The sequence below is a fragment of the Homo sapiens genome, chromosome 1 (genome assembly GCF_000001405.40).
Source record: "Homo sapiens chromosome 1, GRCh38.p14 Primary Assembly".
Lineage (NCBI taxonomy): Eukaryota > Metazoa > Chordata > Mammalia > Primates > Hominidae > Homo > Homo sapiens.
In genome coordinates, this window is record NC_000001.11 from 217,670,312 (window position 1) to 217,691,179 (window position 20,868).

The 20,868-nt window shown below is 36.6% G+C and overlaps 1 protein-coding gene across 3 annotated transcripts in view; it reads left to right on the forward strand.

Moving 5' to 3' along the window:
* Positions 1–20,868, forward strand: part of SPATA17 (spermatogenesis associated 17) — a 240,353-nt gene that overhangs the window by 38,968 nt on the left and 180,517 nt on the right. For all 3 annotated transcript variants that reach the window (NM_001375655.1, NM_138796.4, XM_011509194.4), the window contains exon 5: positions 12,947–13,050. In NM_001375655.1, coding sequence (NP_001362584.1) covers positions 12,947–13,050 — 104 coding nt within the window. The remainder of the gene's footprint in view (positions 1–12,946; positions 13,051–20,868) is intronic.

The following is a 20,868-nucleotide window of genomic DNA, read 5'->3' on the forward strand; positions in this document are numbered from 1 at the left end:
GGGAGACTGTAGAAGGAGATCCTCCCTCCCTTCTGCGCTTCTAGGGAGAAGCACAGAAGATAGAGTTAGAAAGGTGCGTACTTTTGTGTATTATTTTACCTCAAACCTTCATATTGAGTTCTGGTCTGGCTTATTAAGGTTTCTTTTACCTAGACTAAACATATGTAAGAAATTCACGTCAGTACAAGTCCCTTGGAAGGCAGTTTTTTACTTATTCCAACATATACTAAAAGCTCAATTTTCCAATAGCATCATCCAATGTCAATTTATCTTTGATTAATGTCAATGGGCAATGTTGAATTTTACCTGAGTCTTGTGATCCTGGAAAACAACAAAGGTTAAGAAATTCCCACACCTGGCCGGGTATGGTGGCTCACGCCTATAATCCCAGCATTTTGAGAGGCCACGGAGGGTGGATCACCTGACGTCAGGAGTTCGAGGCCAGCCTGGCCAACATGGTGAAACCACGTGTCTACTAAAAATACAAAAATTAGCCGGGCATGGTCATGGGCACCTGTAGTCTCAGCTACTCGGGTGGCTGAGGCAGGAGAATCCCTTGAGCCCAGAAGGCGGAAGTGGCAGTGAGCCGAGATCCCACCACTGCACTCCAGCCTGGGTGACAGAGCAAGACTCCGTCTCAGGAAAAAAAAAAAAAAAAAAAGAAATCCCCACACCCTTTTCTGTTTTAGAAACAGCTTACTGCAAAATAATAATAATAATTATAAAAGAAAAAGAAAAAAGTTACTCTTCCCTTGTATCAGTTAGATATATATGGGGATGCCCCACTTTTTTACCTATGACAAGGCTAGATGCATTCCCTCCAAATTTCCATTCTTTACCTCACAAATGATTAGCTGAGTTGCTTGTTCCTACTGACTAATTGGAACAAAATGTTTGTTAACCAACCTGTGATTTAACTTCTCTCCCTCCTCTATGTCCCTGAACATTGGCCTGCATGTAGCATCTCCTTAACATCCTCTCCTAATAATAGACTGACTTCAGGATAAAAGATTCTCTGATCTACTATTCAGTCATGCCACCCTCTTATCCCACTTCTCCACCTCAGATTCCTTCTAGCCTTGTTTATACCTTCCTATGAAAGAAAAATTCTTTTTGCCTTCCTCTTAACTTGCTTATAAATTTCGTGGTCAAAGTGTTCTCCCTATGCAGTAGTCTGCCTCTGCAGATTGCAGTAGTCACCCTCCCACTTCCTCTTGCAATACTCCTTTCCAATAAAGTCTCTCCCTTATAATTCTGGATCCTTTTTCCCTTCCCCTTCCTTTCTCTTCTCCTTCTGTCTTCTCCCCTCCCTGCCTCTCCTGTCCTCTCCTATCCTCCTCCTTATTGCCTTTTCTCTCCAAAACAACATTTTGGGAGAGAAGCATAGGGGTGGGAATGCGGTAGGGATTAAAGTGAGGGGAGCGAAGACTTAGGCTTTACCTAGAGGTTGGAACGATCCACTAATGACACTCAGGAATTTCTGTGAGGCTATGTGGAGCACATAAATGTTACTATGGGAAATTTATAATAGAGACATTTCTCTAACAAAGAAGTTCAAAGTCACTCTTCAGAGGTTTGAGATGGGTTAACTTGGTAGTAGACTATGTGCTATTTCATGTTCCTGAGTTGAGGAATCAGAAATGAGGCTCACTGGCAGAAAGACCATAAGTGATTCCCCAACAACAATAAGTTTATAGCATTGGTTGATCCAAGTGACCAGTGACTGGAACTGAAGCTGTCAGTGGACTCCAGCCAATTTATTTGTAAGTGGATTTTTGCAAGATGGCACTCTTAAAATTCTGCTACTTTCAAGAGTGAGTGGCCAAAGAGACCAGTGTGTGGCCCAGATACCTTTGTGTTGTGTATATCTGAAGATTACAATCCTAATTGGATACCAGTAGCTGAAGTTTTATTTCTAATAAATACGATTCTGCTTTTTCATTTCATAAGCTACCTGGTAACTTAGTTCAAAACTAGAAGTGATTTAAACATGAATGGCGAGTGTTCAAAAGAAAGAATCTCTAAGGGTAACAGATAACTACCAAATATCTATATGGCCAATAATATCCAGACAGACATATATGTACCCAAATTATGAATAAGACCTTCATGTACAGTACATAAGAACAAAACTTTTGTCTTAATTTTCCTTATGAACAAAGCCTATTGTAAGTTATATATATTTGGCTATTGATTGCTACCATGACAACTAAAATGTATTCAATTGTCAAAGAGGCTAGTGGAGCATTTCTGAAATGGCAGGAGTTTTACAAATTTATTTATAGCCTATCCATCCCTAAATAGATATCAGTCTTTTGTAATGAAGAACAAATTATATGTATGTGATTTTCTTTTATGTAATATTTATTAATATCCTGATTTGCTGCATTTATTTTTTAAAGGGTCACCTTTTCTCTAAAGACTTTATGATCCCCCTACCCCTGTAGAATTTATCACTTTCCTTTTTTATGTTCCTATTTTACCATTGACATACTTCTGTTATAGAACCTGTAACATTTTATTATCCTTACTAATTTACATGCCTGTCTCCACCCCACCACCCCCTGCTCCCCTGTACACTATAAGTCTCATGCGGCCCAGATCCTATCTTCATCTTTGTATCTTCAATGCTTGGCTTATAGTAGGTGGTTAAATAAATATCCCTGAATAAATCAATGAATGCTGGCCCATTCTTTTCTAAACAAGGAGTAAAAAAAGTCCTTTACTTTAACACGTTTTTTCTAAGTTTCAAAGTGTGTTTGTTGCAACTTATTTAAGCCTTTGCTGGGGGATCTTTAAGCCTTTTTTGATTATCTGACTATACTGTAATGATGTAGATAAACTGGATTTGGTAAGGTAAAATTTAGTTTGTGCAGTTCGTATGTAAATGGAAGACTTCATGAGATTAAGGATTTTGCTCAAGTATCATAACACACACCGATTTGAAGGAGGTTTGCTGTGATATAAGCTGCTGTCAGAACCCACAGTATGCCTTTACAAAACCCCTGTTGCTGATTTGCTGCTAGGCCAGTGACAGTCAATTAATATAGCAATAAATTGCTCAGTAAATTTTTATCTTAGCTCCTGGGGCCCTGTTCCTCCTGTTTCTCTGTGACACTTTATTTCCTTTTTAGTCTTCAATTTGACTTTACTCCAGATTAGAGTTCTGCTTTTCTTCCAGCATCTTTTCTACTCCATTGTGGATCCTATTTAAATTTGGCCCCCAACTTTTATTTTCAGTTCTCTTTCTTTGAACAGCTGTTAATATCTTATGCAAACGCCATGAGCTGATTCAGTTGCACAAGTCATTTCTCTCCCTCTGCCATCTAGATGTACAACTGTATATCTTCTGACAGCCTTGTGTAAAACTCACCCTCCATTTTCTATATAGTGAGCACTTGGGTGTCATCTTAGCCCTCCAAATACTGGGCTTAGAGAGTCCGGTTCCTGGCAATATTACAAAGATGAGGGTAAGAATTACTTATGTGGGGAAAACCCATTTAAAAATATCCCCAGGTAGCAAAAGAGTAGAGGTTCGTGGAATTGTTTTTTCCATCCTAAAGTCTATTTCTTGTCCCTTTTTCCCATTACCTTGATTCATAGTTTTCAATATTTAGTGTTTTCTCTTGCTTATGGCTTTTGCTGATTGGCTGACCCCATCCAGGAAGAAGTCTCTCATTCAAAATGACATATATCTTATACCCAATTCTTATATTTGCAGGGGGAAAATAACCCAAGACCAAGATTACATACATTCAGCCTCAACCTTGTTGCTGAAGTCTCTATTTTTCCAATAGAATGACTCCAGATTCTGAAACTTATTCCCTGAGAATAAATAGCTATAGCTGGGGGATACCTAAGTGTACTGTAGTCAAACTGACTTCCAGTGAGGAAGCAAGGATTTAAAAAAGGGAACTCCCCAGATTCTGAACTTCAGTTAGACTGAGCTCTGGCCAGACTTCAGTGGATTCTGTTTCTTTGGTTCTCCCTCTTTCTAAGGACTTCTTATTTTATTTATACCCTCTTCTAGATCAATGCTCTTTTGATTTGTGATGCAGGATTTTTCTTGGTCGTTTTGCAGGGATTATAGGAGGAGGTGCCTCATCTACTCAGCCTGCCTGGCTGTGCCTGGCTTGTGCTCCAGCTGCTGGCTGCTGCGACTGCATGCTCAGTCCCTGGCAGGAGAGTGTGTGTGAGCAAGTGAGTGCAGGGTCTGGCCAGCCATTCTCAACACCAGCACAGGGGCAGCCTCCCTGCAGGGCTTGCAGCCACTCTAGGTGTGTTGCCCAAGGGGAACACGGTGGTGCCCAAGCAGAGGTGCCCACAGCCCCGAAGCCCCAGAAGGGGTGTTACAACATGCTAATTAGTTCTTTTAGTTCTGCCATCTGCAGCTGGATGGATGGTGAAGTGTTAACAGCTGGTTCGGTCCCTTGCCCTGCTCTGGCCTGTGGCTCCAGGGCTGGTTTGGCCCCACCATTGCTTCCTATGATGTGGAGCAGATGCCTGAAAGTGGTCTCTCACCTGAAGTTGGGTCGTCTCCCCTAGTGTGGCTGAGTCTGGGATTTTTATAGGCACAGGATAGGGGAGAGGGGAGCTGTAGGTAGTATTGGAAAAGGCAATATTTGACTGGTTAAAAAACATTATTGGGAAAGAACCAATTGGGAAAGGGTAGGCAAACAAGAACAGAAGTTCTCACTCTGGGTCACGGATTTTATCTGGAAGCAGCAGTCTGGTCTTTCAGCCCTCCAGCTGTTTTTGGCTTGAAGGTGGGGTTTCACTGGACCCCTTCTATCTGCCAAGGCATTTGTCTGACTCCTGCCGCAATTATATGGATATGTTGAGGTTTGTAGAGAAGGAGGATGGAAAGTAGATTAGTAATGTTCCAAGAGTGAGATTACAGTGTGTCAGAGTGTGGGGGGAAAATTATACTTATTTTTTCCTAAATGGGATATAACACTGTGAAATTCAGTTTTCAGCTGAATGCCCTGCAATTCTCCTAAAACATAGTTGTTTCTTTAATAAAGTTTACACTAATGTTTGTAAATTCAAAAGACAAATTGCTAATCTGTCCACTTCAACTTTGTTTTATGCCCATTTCATATTGTTGTCTGTGTTGCAATTCATACTTTTGACACCAATTTCTGATATGAAATGTTCATTGTCTTGTAGTATCCTACGAAGAGTTCAATTGTAGGTAAATTATTGTGGCTGCTAATTTTTGAAAAACAAAATGGATCTCTGAAGCTAGGCAAGAAAAAGATTGCCATGTCATGTATTGCCAAATCTTGGTAGGTCAGAACCACTGGTAAATACTAATAATGAATTAACAATTGTATAGCAGTTACTACTTTCCAGGCACCATTCTAAGTATTTTAAATATTTTAACTTTTCTCTGTAATCATCATAACTAATTCTCTGAGGTATAGGTATCATTAAGATTACAACTTAAAATATGAGGAAAGGGAATCACAGAAAGGTATCTTGCCCCAAATCGCACAGCTAGTAAATGAAAGTGTTAGACATTGAACCCAGGAGGTCTGGCACTCACATTTCTGCCATTGCTGGTCACTTTTAATCTTGGCTTTACTTCCAATCCTCTTTTTCTGAAAATATGGATGAGAACAACTATACTGACCTAGACAGCTCTTAGGGACATTTTATTACTCATACCCTGTTTACTTGGAAAACTGACCTTGTGGCCTGATAATTCATGAGCATCCTTATTGGTAGTACATTTCACGCAGGAATTCTAAATTAAGTGACAATTAACTAAGGAGTAAGTTGAGGCATTCCAATGCAGTGTCACATGCTTCCCCTTGTAGGCAGAATTAGATGGCTCATGACGAAAAACCTCACCATCTAAAAGAATATTCAGGCTGTGGCCTCCCTTATTCCTATTGCCAGCATCAGGATTTGTCATCCATCATAAGCCTAGATGAAACACCCTTCCTGCTCCAATTTTAAATGGATTTTTGAGGAGGATGTAACAAATGATAACAAAGAGAATTTGTCATTTCTTTGCTGGTTGAAGTCCAAGGTGCAGATCACACAGATTTTTGAAATTTAAAAGTCTGTGTTTAGTTTCATTTATACCTCTACCGTGCCTGTTTTGGGCCCTGAAGCATCAATGGAAAAGAAAAGGGACTCTAACATTTTTAAAACATTAGGAACAATCACAAAATTATTGCTAGGACTGATAAAGTCAACTGCTGTTTCTAAATTAATGTTTAGAGTATACTAGTCTTCAATAACCTAAACATAATGGGGACATATAATCTGTCACAGACTTTGGAATGTAATAATGGTAAACTTTATGGGAAATATTTGTTCCTTGTAATGCCTTTGAAAAGCCTCCTTTGTATCATGTCATACATCTTGAGTCTTCCTTTGCTTGTCTGCCCTAGAACAACTGGAGCAATATCACATGAATGCAAATTTCAAGAAGTGCTGGTGTGCAGCATCTTAGAGATCTCTCTTATAAAATGAATTCTGTCACAGGTTTTTATCTTAGTTTCAAAGATCTATGAGGAATGAAAAAAATGGTAATAATCAAAAGCTTACAGAATGTTAAAGAACTACAGATGTAATTAATTGTTTCAAGTAAAATTCCTTTTACCCTGAAATCCCCATACCTGTTATTTATCAATCACCTATACTCGCTTAGTGAAATTCCACTGGAATCTACAGTTTCAACTGATTCTTTATTATTTTAAATTATTTAACTTGATTATAGTGCCCCCAAACAATTTTGTTCAGATTGAAATGCTCACATTTAGGGAAACAGAAGCAATAGTAACAAGAGAAACAGTAGAACAGAGGTCATTTAAACAACAAATTTGCCAAATAACATCACTTTATTGGCTTATTTCCCCTTAGAGCTTTCTCCGCATATAATACAAATTTTAATTTATAAAAATTAATCTAACTTGATATATCAAGTAACCATTTTCTTTTGTTTCCCACTTGTGTCTAAAATACAAAAAAAGTTAGAAAAGATTATATGGTGGCTTTACTTAAAAATGATTAAATATGTGTCAGATATATAAAGATTCGTCTCAATCCCTTAAAGTACTTACCATACTATTTTCATATTTATAATACTATGAAGTAAGCATTTGTATTTAGAATAATGACCCCGAGATTACATAGTTAGAGATAGATAGGTTAGTTAATTCAGAAAAAGGATACGGAAGGTCTTTTATATGCTAGACATTATGTTATTGTTCTGGGCATACAGAATGAATAACAGTTTTATTCATACAAAAAAGGGTATCCCAAAATATCAGCCTATGGAAGAAAAGAAGGGGCCATCTGGACAACACCAAGCTTTTACCTGATGATGGAATAGATATTCTAATGTTCCATCCCCATGTAAAAGTATATTTCTTCCTCCCTCCTTCTACTTCTAGTACCAATATCATTGTGAAATGATTAAATAGATTTGTAGAGAAAGGAAGTATAAGGCTAGTGAGAGTGGGGAAACAGAATATTAAAGAGAGGAAACTGCACATTTAATAATTATCCAGAATCTTTTGATAAAAATATCTAGTTAAGATTTTCACATATACGTCCTATATGTGTGAAACTGTATTTTCATATGATAATATTTTATGTATAAATATAAATGGTTGTGACGTGACAATGCAATGATACCTACAATGAAAACTTGGGTTATATTACTACTTTTTACATTCCTAATCTTTGAAGATTTAGTAAACCCACATTTCTGTGCTCACTGTACAATCTTTTTTAGAATGTTGATCATTCTAATAAAAGTATAATTATGAATAACTGAGTTCTACTTCTGTGCTCTCATATACATTTAGAGCATGAGTATTGGGTGAGCTATTATCAAGGAATTTGTTTTCCATGCCTTCATTTTTCTTTTCTTTTCTTTTTTTTTTTTTTTTTTTTTGAGATGGAGATTTGCTCTGTTACCCAGGCTGGAGTGCAGTGGCACAGTCTCGGCTCTCTGCAACCTCCACCTCCCAGGTTCAAGCAACTGTCCTGCCTCAGCCTCCTGAGTAGCTGGGATTACAGGCTCCTGCCACCACGCCCAGCTAATTTTGTGTATTTTTAGTTGAGATGGGGATTCACCATGTTGGCCAGGCTGGTCTCGAACTCCTGACCTCGTGATCCACCCACCTCAGCCTCCCAAAGCACAGGGATTACAGGCATGAGCCACCGCTCCTGGCCCCATGCCTTCATTTTTCATGTTAAGAGAGAAGACATTTTTTCTTTTAGTGGCATTAAGGTTACTATAGATTTTCAGGAATAAAAGTAAACCCAATGGAGGGAAAATCTTTTCTATGGCAGATGGCTTTTAATATATCAAGGTTTTGCCATTTGTTTTAGTGCTTAAAATAAACATTATTTATAAGACCACTTACATTTTGATGTTACTTAATGAGGAATATGCATCATTGATTTGACTAGCTTAAGAGGTCATTTAGAACTTGCCCGTTAACAAGCTGTAATCTGCTGAGCACACAATGACTTTGTTTAAAATTATCTATTCAGAGCTGATCAATGACAATAATTGTTTTATACCAATCACTTTTGAAAGTTGCTAATTACTTTGAAGGACATGAATACAAATCATTTTTCTTTTTTTTTTGAAGTAGTAACCCGTTCACCTTGAAATTAAGAAGAAATCTTATAAAAATCATCTTGCTGCTTGAAAGAACATTTAAAAAAATTAAAAGTATATTTACTAGTACTGGAATATCAACAGAATAGGCAAAATTTAAGACGTCATTTGTTTCTATAATAGGAAATATAGTACAGTCTCATCTATATTGTATTTTACAATATCAATTAGCTATTGGTTAAACTAGTCTCCCTATAATATAAGAAAATACCATATTTTAAACTAAAGAACACGCATATACTCTTTCTCTTTATACAATATATATGTAAGGTGTTTCAAGTGGAAAGAGCGGGCTTTGGAGTAAGACAAACCTGGGTTTGTATCCTGACTTTCCATTTACTGTTTTACTGGTTATGTGACCCTGAGCAAATTACTTAACCTCAGTTTCTTCATTTTTAACATGGAGATCATGCCCTATTCACAAGGATATTGTGAGAATAAAAGCAGTTAGCATAATACCTGGCACATTCATGGAGCTCAATAAATTTTAGATCCTTCATTTCACTGATGGCATCTTCTTCACCCACTCAAATGCTGTTTCCTCCAGATCTTTTTACCCACTCATCTCTAAGAAAGCCACTTAAAGACTGATTGATTATACTTTAGTGTGGATGAGTTTTAATTTGTTACCTTAACCATCGCTTACTTATTACATTCTTTAATATCCAATTTTGAATAAAAGGAATTATCTTGGAGAGGAATTTTAGCCAGCCTTTGGAGATATGTGTAGGGTGTCAGGACATTAGAATGTTTTCTGAAAGCATACCAGTTGTAGTCTCTCTAGATATGGTTGGTGCTCTTTCCAATAGTTGCTGGGTTTGGAGAAGGAAAGAGCCCACATTGTTGGATTTTTTCTTTTTTAATTACAGGAAACTCTTCTTACTTGAACACAAATTTTTCAGCCAATTTCAGTTTTTTTCTTTAACATCTCTTTCCTAGAAATGGGAATATCCATTTCTCTGATATTACCAAATCATAAACTCGCATCATTCTTCCTTCCTCTCAGTATGCCAACATGCATCTTTTGTGTTTTCTGGCACACTTAATCTTATTTTATTTATAATTTAATGACATTTTCATGTGATAGGTAGCCCCTCCCTTAATACTGTTTGATATCTTAATATTTTCCTATGCAACTTGAATAACTTCTATTGCTGATGACGGATTTCCTGTCAGTACATGTATTTACAAGTGTTCCCTTCATTAATAAAATTGTTACTGTACATGCAGTAAAAGTATGCTGAAAGATTTGAAGCCATCCAACCAGCTATATGACCTTAGGCAATTAGTTAACCTTTCTAAACATCAATTCCCTCTTCTATCAAATGAGGCTAATAATAATCTCCACCTCAGAATGATGCTATAATGATCAAATTAGATAAGCTAGGAAAATATGCACTTATTTGCATGTATGATTTATATTATGTATACATATTCCAATTGATTCTTCTTTTTCATTAGGAAAGTGGTTCTATCAATTCCTTCTTTTTCTTTCTCAGCCATAATATAATATTGGTAAAATTAGGGAGAGTTTCTAAATTGAGTATATAATTTTAGAATTTTTTTTTAAAGAATTGATCTGGCAAATAAGATCACTTGAGAAGTATTTTGAAAGACACTTTGAATACTTTTGTTACATTAGTTTGCTATACTACTAGTTTCACTTTCTAAAGTTATTGTTGGCTGGGTGTGGTGGCTCACACGTGTAATCCCAGCACTTTGGGAGGCCAAGGCGGGAGGATCATTTAAGGTTAGGAGTTCAAGACCAGCCTGGCCAACATGGTGAAACCCTGCCTCTATTAAAATTACAAAAATTAGCTGGGCATGGTGGCACATGCCTGTAGTCCAAGCTACTCTGGAGGCTAAAGCAAGAGAATCGTTTGAACCCAGGAGACAGAGGTTGCAGTGGGCCGAGATCATGCCACTGCACTCCAGACTGGGTGACAGAGTGAGACTCTGTTAAAAAAAAAAAAAAAAAAAAAAAAGGCTGGGCACGGTGGCTCACGCCTGTAATCCCAGCACCTTGGGAGGCCAAGGCAGGCAGATCACGAGGTCAAGAGATCGAGACCATCCTGGCCAACATGGTGAAACCCCGTTTCTACTAAAAATACAAAAATTATCTGGCTGTGGTGGCATGTGTCTGTTATCCCAGCTACTCATGAAGCTGAGGCAGGAGAATCGCTTGAACCAGGGAGTTGGAGGTTACAGTGAACCGAAATCGCGCCACTGCACTCCAGCCTGGTGACAGAGCGAGACTCTGTCTCAAAAATAAATAAATAAATAAATAAAATAAAATAAAGTTATTTTCTCTGATTTACTTGTTCTTGCAAGCTGTTTTGCATATTTCCAGTTAGTTTAGTAATTCTCATATGGGGAGTCTGACAAAAACACTCCCTTATAATCTTCATGTTTAATATCTTTTTTTCTTTTGAGACCGAGTCTCGCTCTGTCGCCCAGGCTGGAGTGCAGTGGTGCAATCTCGGCTCACTGCAACCTCTGCCTCCCCGGTTCAAGCGATTCTTCTGCCTCAGCCTCCCAAGTAGCTGGGACTACAGGCGCACACCACCATGCCCAGTTTTGTATTTTTAGTAGAGACAGGGTTTTGTTTTGTATTTTTAGTAGAGACAGGTTTTTACCATATTGGCCAGGCTGGTCTCGAACTCCAGACCTTGTGATCTTCCCGCCTTGGCCTCCCAAAGTCCTGGGATTAGAGGTGTGAGCCACCATGCCCAGCCATGTTTAATATCTTAAATTGTAAATGATTATAAATGACCTTTTAAATGGCCATGTTTTAAAACAGAGAAAAATAATCAGAATTTAAGTAAAGAATTTTTCCGGTTAATTTTTTATTGATCCAATATTCAACTTAGACAAATTTTATACTAAATATTTTTTAGCTAAAAAAAAGTAGGCTTTGGGGATGAAACCCAATGGACTGGTGCTTAGTCTCCATATTTCCCTTTCCTATTAAAAAAAAAAAAAGTTTAGGGAAGACGTGTGTTCTCTTAGCCTAGCAAACTGTGCCAAAATCGGGAAGACTTCATATCCAAAAAGGGAATGATTTATGATACGTGAGTCATTCATACAGATATTTAAACGGTTGGAAAATTTTAGGAATGATGCTAAATCTTTACGCAAGACTAAGTTAGTATTTTTCAATATGTGCTATTTCTTTTTCCTCCAATCCTTTAAATAATTTCAGGTATCTTTTCCTAATTAATATCATATATTATTTTGTTTGAGTTTTTCAGATAGGGGTATTAGAAAATATAGCAAAGATATTTATATTAGCAAAGATAGGACTTAAGGACAGTGACTGATTCTCATGGTTCCTGGGGTTGTATAAGATATCTAGAAGCTGACTTAGGTATGGTCTCTCAGACCCCTAACATTCCTCTCATCCAAAAAAAAAAAAACACCCTACTTTGATGATATGTTCTAGTAAAAATAAAATTATTTGAATGTCAGCATTGAAGTAAAAGATGTAAGAAGCAGATAATTTCAATATAACTTTTCTTTTATTGAAAATCACAGTTCTCTTTGTTCCCAGTTCTATATTGCAATGGTTACGAGAGTGGGCTCTCTGAAGCCCTAACTTGAAATTTGATTCCTGGATTCATCCTAATAGCTGTATAATTATAGGAAAATTGTGTAACCTCTCTTTTTAACTGTTTCCACATCTGTAAATGAGGTAATGAGTATTTATGTCATAGGAGTATTCTAAAGATTAAATAAATGTAAGCAAGAACCCTTACATAGTGCCTGGCACATAAGAACTCAATAAATGTTAGCTATTTTTGTTATTGTTAAGGAAGAATTAAAATGTCATAATTAAGATACAAGAATTTGTTTAAATATTTTGATACCACTGAATTTAAGAAGCCCATTAATAAGACAAAATACAAAAACTAAACGTATATTTCAATGAGACCAAATACAACCTTAAAGTGAGTTGGCTATGAAAAAAAAAATTGATTTGCCCAGGAAGTGGAAATGGTAGGAATTTGTAAAGCAAATTTTTATAAATCTTTCAATAGTTTAGTATTCTGTGAGATAATTATAAATAATTTAAAATAAATTATAATAGCCTATAATTATGTTTATTTTTATAATATTTCATAAAAAATTTATGAGCAGAACCTATATTTACAACTAATATGCTACAATATTAGTGGAAAAGCCCAAGACTTTATTTGATAGGAGTTATCAGCCATAATTACCTTAATTTTGAAGTGCTATTACATTTTTAATAAAAGTGTTTAATGGCATATTTTATCTCTTTATTTACTTTAATAGATTCAGAGACGATGGCGAGGCTATAGGGTTCGGAAGTACCTCTTTAATTATTATTATTTGAAAGAGTACCTGAAAGTCGTTTCAGAGACCAATGATGCAATTAGGTAAGTAGTGCAATCATCCATTCACTAGGGAAAACTTTGGAAAGATTACTCAATAGATGTTGATCAACACCATAGTTAGAAATATTTTTTTGTTTTAGATGGAGTCTTGCTCTGTTGCCCAGTCTGGAGTGCAGTGGCGCAATCTCGGCTCACTGCAATCTCCTCCTCTTGGGTTCAAGCAATTCTCCTGCCTCAGACTCCCGAGTAGGTGGGATAACAGGCGCCCGCCACCACAGCCGGCTAATTTTTTTCTATTTTTTAGTAGAGACGGGGTTTCACCATATTGGCCAGGCTGGTCTCGAACTCCTGACCTTGTGATCTGCCCGCCTCGGCCTCCCAAAGTGCTTGGATCACAGGCGTGAGCCACTGCACCCGGCTAAAAATATTTTCTAAAAGTCAGTGATGTTTAGGCAGACATTTATTGATAAAAAATATATATATGATTCTATTTACCTTAATTTATTATTATTATATTAAAAAAATCTTGTATCCTTCACTGCAAGTTATTTATGTGTGTAGTATCTTGTATATTTATTTATGTGTGTAGTATCTTGGTCCTATACAAAATAGTTTCAGGAAAATTGTTTCATGATGAGATGAATTTATCTGTAAAACGATCTAGAGATGCAACATTAAATACAAAAAGCCTCAGATGCATTTGAGAAACATGTTCCATAGCAAGAACTTGCCTCTCCTAGAATAAAATATCATGAAACATATTAAAAAGGTCTGTTCACTGTCAGTTTTGATTTGTTTAAACACATAGGAGGATAGGACATAGATTTAGGATATGGGATATGTAGAATTCTGCAAAGTAAAGGCATCGTAATATTACTCAGCCAGCTTTTCCAAAGTTCTATATGTTAAGTTTCCATATTATTTTGAAAATAGTTTTTTCCTCCTGTGATATGCCCCATTCTAATAACATATAAATGACCATATGCATATAGTACATTTTGATAAAAAAGAAATACTAATTAATAATAGTTGGTATTTATAGAACAGTCTCACTTCAAAATATTTTCTACATATATCATATATCATCTTATTTTACTCTTTTATTTTTTTTTTGAGACGGAGTCTTCCTCTGTCACGCAGGCTGGAGTGCAGTGGCACGATCTCGGCTCACTGCAACCTCTGCTTCTGGGGTTCAAGTGATTCTTGTGCCTCAGCCTCTCGAGTAGCTGGGATTACAGTTGCATGCCACCACGCCCAGCTAATTTTTATATTTTTAATAGAGATGGGGATTTCGTCATGTTGGCCAGGCTGGTCTTGAACTCCTGACCTCAGGTGATCTGCCCACCTCGGCCTCCCAAAGTGTTGGGATTACAGGCATGAGCCACTGCGCCCAGCCCCTTATTTTACTCTTTAAAGTCTTTGAACTAAAGAGAACAAGTAATTGGCAATAAATTATTAAAATAAAAGTTTTGTCTGAGACCCTAAAATAATATATAAGATATATATGAAAACTAATTTCCCAACTACTAACTTTCTCACATATGTTGTGAATATAAAGGGATCTGGTCTTTGAGGATTACCTATAGAGAAATTTGTTAATTTGATTTCTTTAGAAAGAGAGCAGTTAAGGGGGGAAGGCTTCAATAGGATTTAGTCGATTGGAGAAGTAGGAAAATTCAGAAACACGTGAATCATAGGGGACTGCTGTTTAATTTCTTCTTGAAACGTATAAAATTCTAAAGACTGGCTGACTTTAGCTTGTCAGGAGGAAGAGCTAGTAGAGTTTGCAAGGAGAAGAAATACGTGCAGGGCTGGAACTAGGGTGAGACAAGTGAGACTTTTAAGGGAGGGAGGTGCTCACTCTCAGGGTCACACGATTATCAACCTTGAACTTTCATAACCCCAAGAGTGAGTATGTCCTTCAATTCTGCACTTCAGGGGCCTTACTTGCTTCACTCTTGTCTGAGCCCTGAATAGGAGAAAGTCAAGGAGGCAAATAGGTAAAGAGGTGGTTTGGGAAAGGTCTGAATCTTCTATTTGACAGATATTTCCAGTAATTCTTATTTTCCTCCTGATTTTAATAGGAATATCTCTAGTCAGTAGAGAGTCTGGTATATCAGTGTTGTAATTTTATTTTAGAGTGGTATTCTTTAGTATATTACAGAGCCATTCTATTATTTCTAGCTCTCTTAGAGTTTCTTAAACCAGGAATGGAAGTTGACTTTAACAAATGCTTTTCTGTCATCTATTGAAATAATTATATAGGATGTTTTTTCTTTTTTAATATACTAACATGCATAGAGCTATATTCTATTAATAGATGTACTAATATCAAACCATCATTTATTTTAGGAATACATCTAACCAGGCCATTGTTAATTATTCTTTTGAATTTTCACTAAATTATATGAGTATTTTATATAGGATACTTACGTCCTCTTCTGTATATGTGATTGGTTATACAGTGGTCCCTCTTATCCATGATTTTGCTTTCTGCACTTTCAGTTATTCACAGTACAGTACAATAAGATATTTTGAGAGAGAACAAGAGAAAGAGTGAGCGAGAACACCCATTTGTATGATCTTTATTATAGTATATTGTTATACTTGTTCTATTTTATTTTTTGTTATTGATGCTAATCTCTTACTGTGCCTAATTTATAAATTAAACTTTATCATAGGTATGTATGTATGGGAGGAAACATATTATTTATAGGGTTCAATATTATCTGCAGTTTCAGGCAGCCACAAAGAGCCTTGGAACACATTCTCTGTGAATAACAGGGGACTATGTAATTTTCTTTCTTATATTGCAATTGTCAGATCCTAGTGTCAGATTTTTGCCATATTTATTAAATGAATTAAGTAGATTTTTTGATATGGGGATTACTAGTCTTTGGAAGTTTAAAATAAATACTTTATAAAACTCCCTGGACCCAGAGCCTTTTGGGGAAGGTCAATCATTAACATTTCCAAACCTTAATTCACGTTTTTATAAATTTATTAGAGTCCATTTTCTTTATTTCCAGATAATTATTAGTTCACTGACATTTAAATATATCTAATGTTATTTATGATATTTTAATTACAATATGTACTTTAGTTGTTTTAGTCCATTTCTCATTATTTAATTTGCTTATTTAAATACTTCTCTCTTTTGTTCTCAAAATTGTTAGGCTTATCTATATTTTTTAGAGAAACATCTCTCAGATTTTTTCTTTTAACTTATTTTTGTTTCCTAATTAAATGTTTTGCTTTCATCTTTAAAAGACGCGTAATTTCTTTGTTTCACAGATAATACATGCCCCTTGTAGAAAAACTGAAAATACAGATAATGTAAAAGAAACTAAATAAAAAGTCATCTATAATTTCATCACTCAGAAATAAACACTATTAACTTTTTGTTTTTTAATTTTTTGAGACGGAGTCACGCCCTGTTGCCCAGTCTGGAATGCAGTGGCACAATCTTGACTCACTGCAACCTCTGCCTCCTGGGTTCAAGCGATTCTCCTGCCACAGCCTCTGAGTAGCTGGAATTACAGGTGCCTGCCACCATGTCTGGATAATTTTTGTATTTTTAGTAGAGATGGGATTTCACCATGTTGGCCAGGCTGGTCTTGAACTCCTGACCTCAAGTGATCCACCTGCCTCAGCCTCCCAAAGTGCTGGGATTACAGGCGTGAGCCAACGTGTCCAGCTGCATGATAGCTTTTAAATATTTTTTATTGTTGGAGATACAGTTGTTCTAAATTTTTGCTATTGTAAACATTGTGTTATTTAATACTACTACTAGTTAATATGGAGTTTCTTACAGTTCTTGAATTCATTACTCTCTTTACTGCTTTTTTAGTAATTAAAACATTTAGTCTACGATTCGTTTCCATGTATAATATTGTCCACATTTAATATATTTTTATATATAATGTTCTCATATTCTAATTGCATTTTTTATATTCTCTTTGAAATTCATTTTTCAATCTCCAGTGGCTTGGCTTTTTCTTGTAGTTTAAACATAAAACAGATGTATTTCTAGGTTTATTGTGTTATAGTCAGAAAATATATTTGGTACAATTATTACCTCAGGAAAATTATTTAGTTTTTCACCTTTTATATACAGTCACATACCACATAATGATGTTTTGGTCAATGACGTACGACATTTATGACAGTGGTCCTGTAAGATTATAATACTATACTTTTACTGTACCTTTTTATGTTTAGATATGTTTCAATACACAAATAGTTACAGTTGTATTACAATTACATATAGTATTCGGTACAGCATCATGCTGTACAGGTTTGTAGCCTCGGAGCCAGAAGCTATACCTAGGTGTGTAGTAGGCTATACTATCTAGGTTTATGTAAATACACTCTATGATGTATGCACGATGATGAAATTGCCTAAGGATGCATTTCTCAGACTGTATCTCTGTCATTAGTTAAGCAACCCATGACTGTATTATTTTGTTTTAGGTATTCTCTTAAAGGCAAATGAATAGATTTTGTTTTCTTACCCGAGCTAAGTTTTTGTATTTTAATTGAGCAATAAAAATGTTTACTTTCATTATTGTAACCATTTAACTCTTTCTAACTTCTCTCATCTTGCTTTATGTTTCTGCTTTTTCTGTTTCCTTTTATATATAAACTATGATTAGTTATTGTGAACTTAAAAAACATCATACATATTAGAATCATGGCCCTTCTGTGCCTCATCTTCAGCTTCATTGAAAATTGAACTTACCTCTTAACTTTTAAAACCGGAGGGCCAGGCACAGCGGTGCATGCCTGTAGTCCCAACTACTTGGGAGGCTGCAGCAGGAGGATCACTTGAGCCCAGGAGTCTGAGGATCACTTGAGCCCAGGAGTGTGATTGTATTACTGCATTCCAGCTGGGGCAACAGAGTGAGACTCTTTCTCTAAAAAAAATAAATAAACAAAAATATTTTTTAAAAAACTGGTTATAATTCCCCTCCCCACTATTTAACACAGAAATTTCTGGAGGCTTCTTTCTACCAAAACACCTACTCTTTAAATATAGGCTTCTATCATCTCTTGCCTGGACTCTTAATTAAGTGAGAACATTTTAACAGTTCTCTTTTCTTTTGGTTTTGCCATTCTTCAAAACAGTGTTAAGAGAGATCTCTTTTAAGTCATTTTTCTCTGCTTCAAATCCATCCAACTCTCCCTGTTGCTTTTAGCATGTCACATATTTTAGACTGTCACATAGGTCGACAGCCCCATCTTCAAATGCTCACCCATTCTGAATGTCTTATCAATTTTAGAAGCATCATGTTTCCTTAGACTTCCAAGCCTTTGCACGTGCCATTCTCTTAATCCCTCATCTGCCATGTCAACTGCTCATCATTCTTTATGTTGCTGCTTAAATGTTGATAGAGTTGGGGCACTCCTCATCTGCATGCCCGGAGACTCTCAAACAAAGCTACCTTATGCCTTCTGTCTTATGGTATTATAATTACTTATGTGTTTGTCTTTACCTTTATATTATGAAATCGGTGGGGGAAAGGAGCTGACACTTGAACACCCTGTCTTAATTATCTTTGAAACCTCAGTGCCTAGCACAGTTACTGATATATAGTAAGTCCAAGGTAATATTTGCTGACTAAAAGCTTACCGAATGAAAGAATGAATGAGATTAGATGAAACTCCATTATAATTTTCACTTTGTCAAGCAGCTGCAATTTTAAGAATATTGCTTTTTTCTGTCTTAATAAGTCATGATTTAATACTTATTTAACAACTACCATGTGGGTCAGGTACTAGGTTAAATGTTGTGGATACAATGATTAACACGGTAGATTCGAGCTAGCCTTTATAGAGCTTAAAGCTTAGTAGAGCAAAAGTACAATATAATCATCACAAATCAGATAGCATTTATTATGTCTTTTTTTTTTTTTTTTTTTTTTGAGACAGAGTCTCGCTCTGTCTCCCAGGCTGGAGTGCAGTGGTGCAATGTCGGCTTACTGCAATCTCTGCCTCCCTGGTTCAAGTGATTCTCCTGCCTCAGCTTCCCGAGTAGCTGGGACTACAGGTGTGTGCCACCACGCCCGGCTAATTTTCATATTTTTAATAGAGATGGGGTTTCGCCATGTTGGCCAGGCTGGTCTCGAACTCCTGGCCTCAGGTGATCTGGCCACCTTGGCTTCCCAAAGTGCTGGGATTATAGGTGTGAGCCACCACACGATGTCTTTTTGTGTGCCGGAAATTATTCTAAATTCTGAGAACTATTAACAGGCAAGTATAAGACAATGTTCTCAAAAATCTCTGACTTTCAGAGATCACTCTATCCTCTAATATTCAAAATAAATATAGTTTAATCAGTCCTTCAAACTGAGATCCAGTGCACCTTCCCTTTCAATATCTCCTGGTTCTGAAGTAGCTTTTCTCTCTATTTCTTGTCCTGATGGCAAATTTCAGTTGCATTCTCATTTTAACTCTGCATTTCACTCACTTTTTGCATTTATCATCTGCTTTTTTCATTGCTTCCTTCTCCATTTTTGATCCTAGTCAACCCCTGTACCATCACAGAAGCCTGTTGTGAGCTTCATTTCACTGCAGTTTTTCTTTTTCTTTTTTTTTTTTTGAGACAGAGTTTTGCTCTTTTCGCCCAGGCTGCAGTGCAATGGCACAATCTCCGCTCACTGCAATCTCCGCCTCCCAGGTTCAAGCGATTCTCCTGCCTCAGCCTCCGAGTAGCTGGGCTGACAGGTGTGCGCCACCACACCCAGCTAATTTTTATAATTTTAGTAGAGACAGGGTTTCACCATATTGGTCAGGCTGGTCTCAAACTCCTGACCTCGGGTTATCTACCCACCTTGGCCTACCAAAGTACTGGGACTATAGGCGTGAGCCACCGGGCCCAGCCTTTACTTTAGTTTTTCAGAACTCTGACTTTGCATATATTAAGCACTCTCATTCTATCCTCCAATATCTACCTTACATTTAATCTTTAATATTTTCCACCAGCTTATATTTTTAAACTTTACTCTGGATAGTTTCTTCAGATACAGCTTCTATCTTGCTAATTCTCTTTCTTTTGCCAATCCATAGAGTTAATTTTGATGACTGTATTTTTCATTTCTAAAAAGTACTATTTGGTCCTTTTTATTTTTATTTTTATTTTATTTTATTTTTTATTTTTTTTTTTTTTAATTATTTTTTTTTATTATACTTTAAGTTTTAGGGTACATGTGCACATTGTGCAGGTTAGTTACATATGTATACATGTGCCATGCTGGTGCGCTGCACCCACTAACTCATCATCTAGCATTAGGTATATCTCCCAATGCTATCCCTCCCCCCTCCCCCCACCCCACCACAGTCCCCAGAGTGTGATATTCCCCTTCCTGTGTCCATGTGATCTCATTGTTCAATTCCCACCTATGAGTGAGAATATGCGGTGTTTGGTTTTTTGTTCTTGCGATAGTTTACTGAGAATGATGGTTTCCAATTTCATCCATGTCCCTACAAAGGACATGAACTCATCATTTTTTATGGCTGCATAGTATTCCATGGTGTATATGTGCCACATTTTCTTAATCCAGTCTATCATTGTGGGACATTTGGGTTGGTTCCAAGTCTTTGCTATTGTGAATAATGCCGCAATAAACGTACGTGTGCATGTGTCTTTATAGCAGCATGATTTATAGTCCTTTGGGTATACACCCAGTAATGGGATGGCTGGGTCAAATGGTATTTCTAGTTCTAGATCCCTGAGGAATTGCCACACTGACTTCCACAATGGTTGAACTAGTTTACAGTCCCACCAACAGTGTAAAAGTGTTCCTATTTCTCCACATCCTCTCCAGCACCTGTTGTTTCCTGACTTTTTAATGATCACCA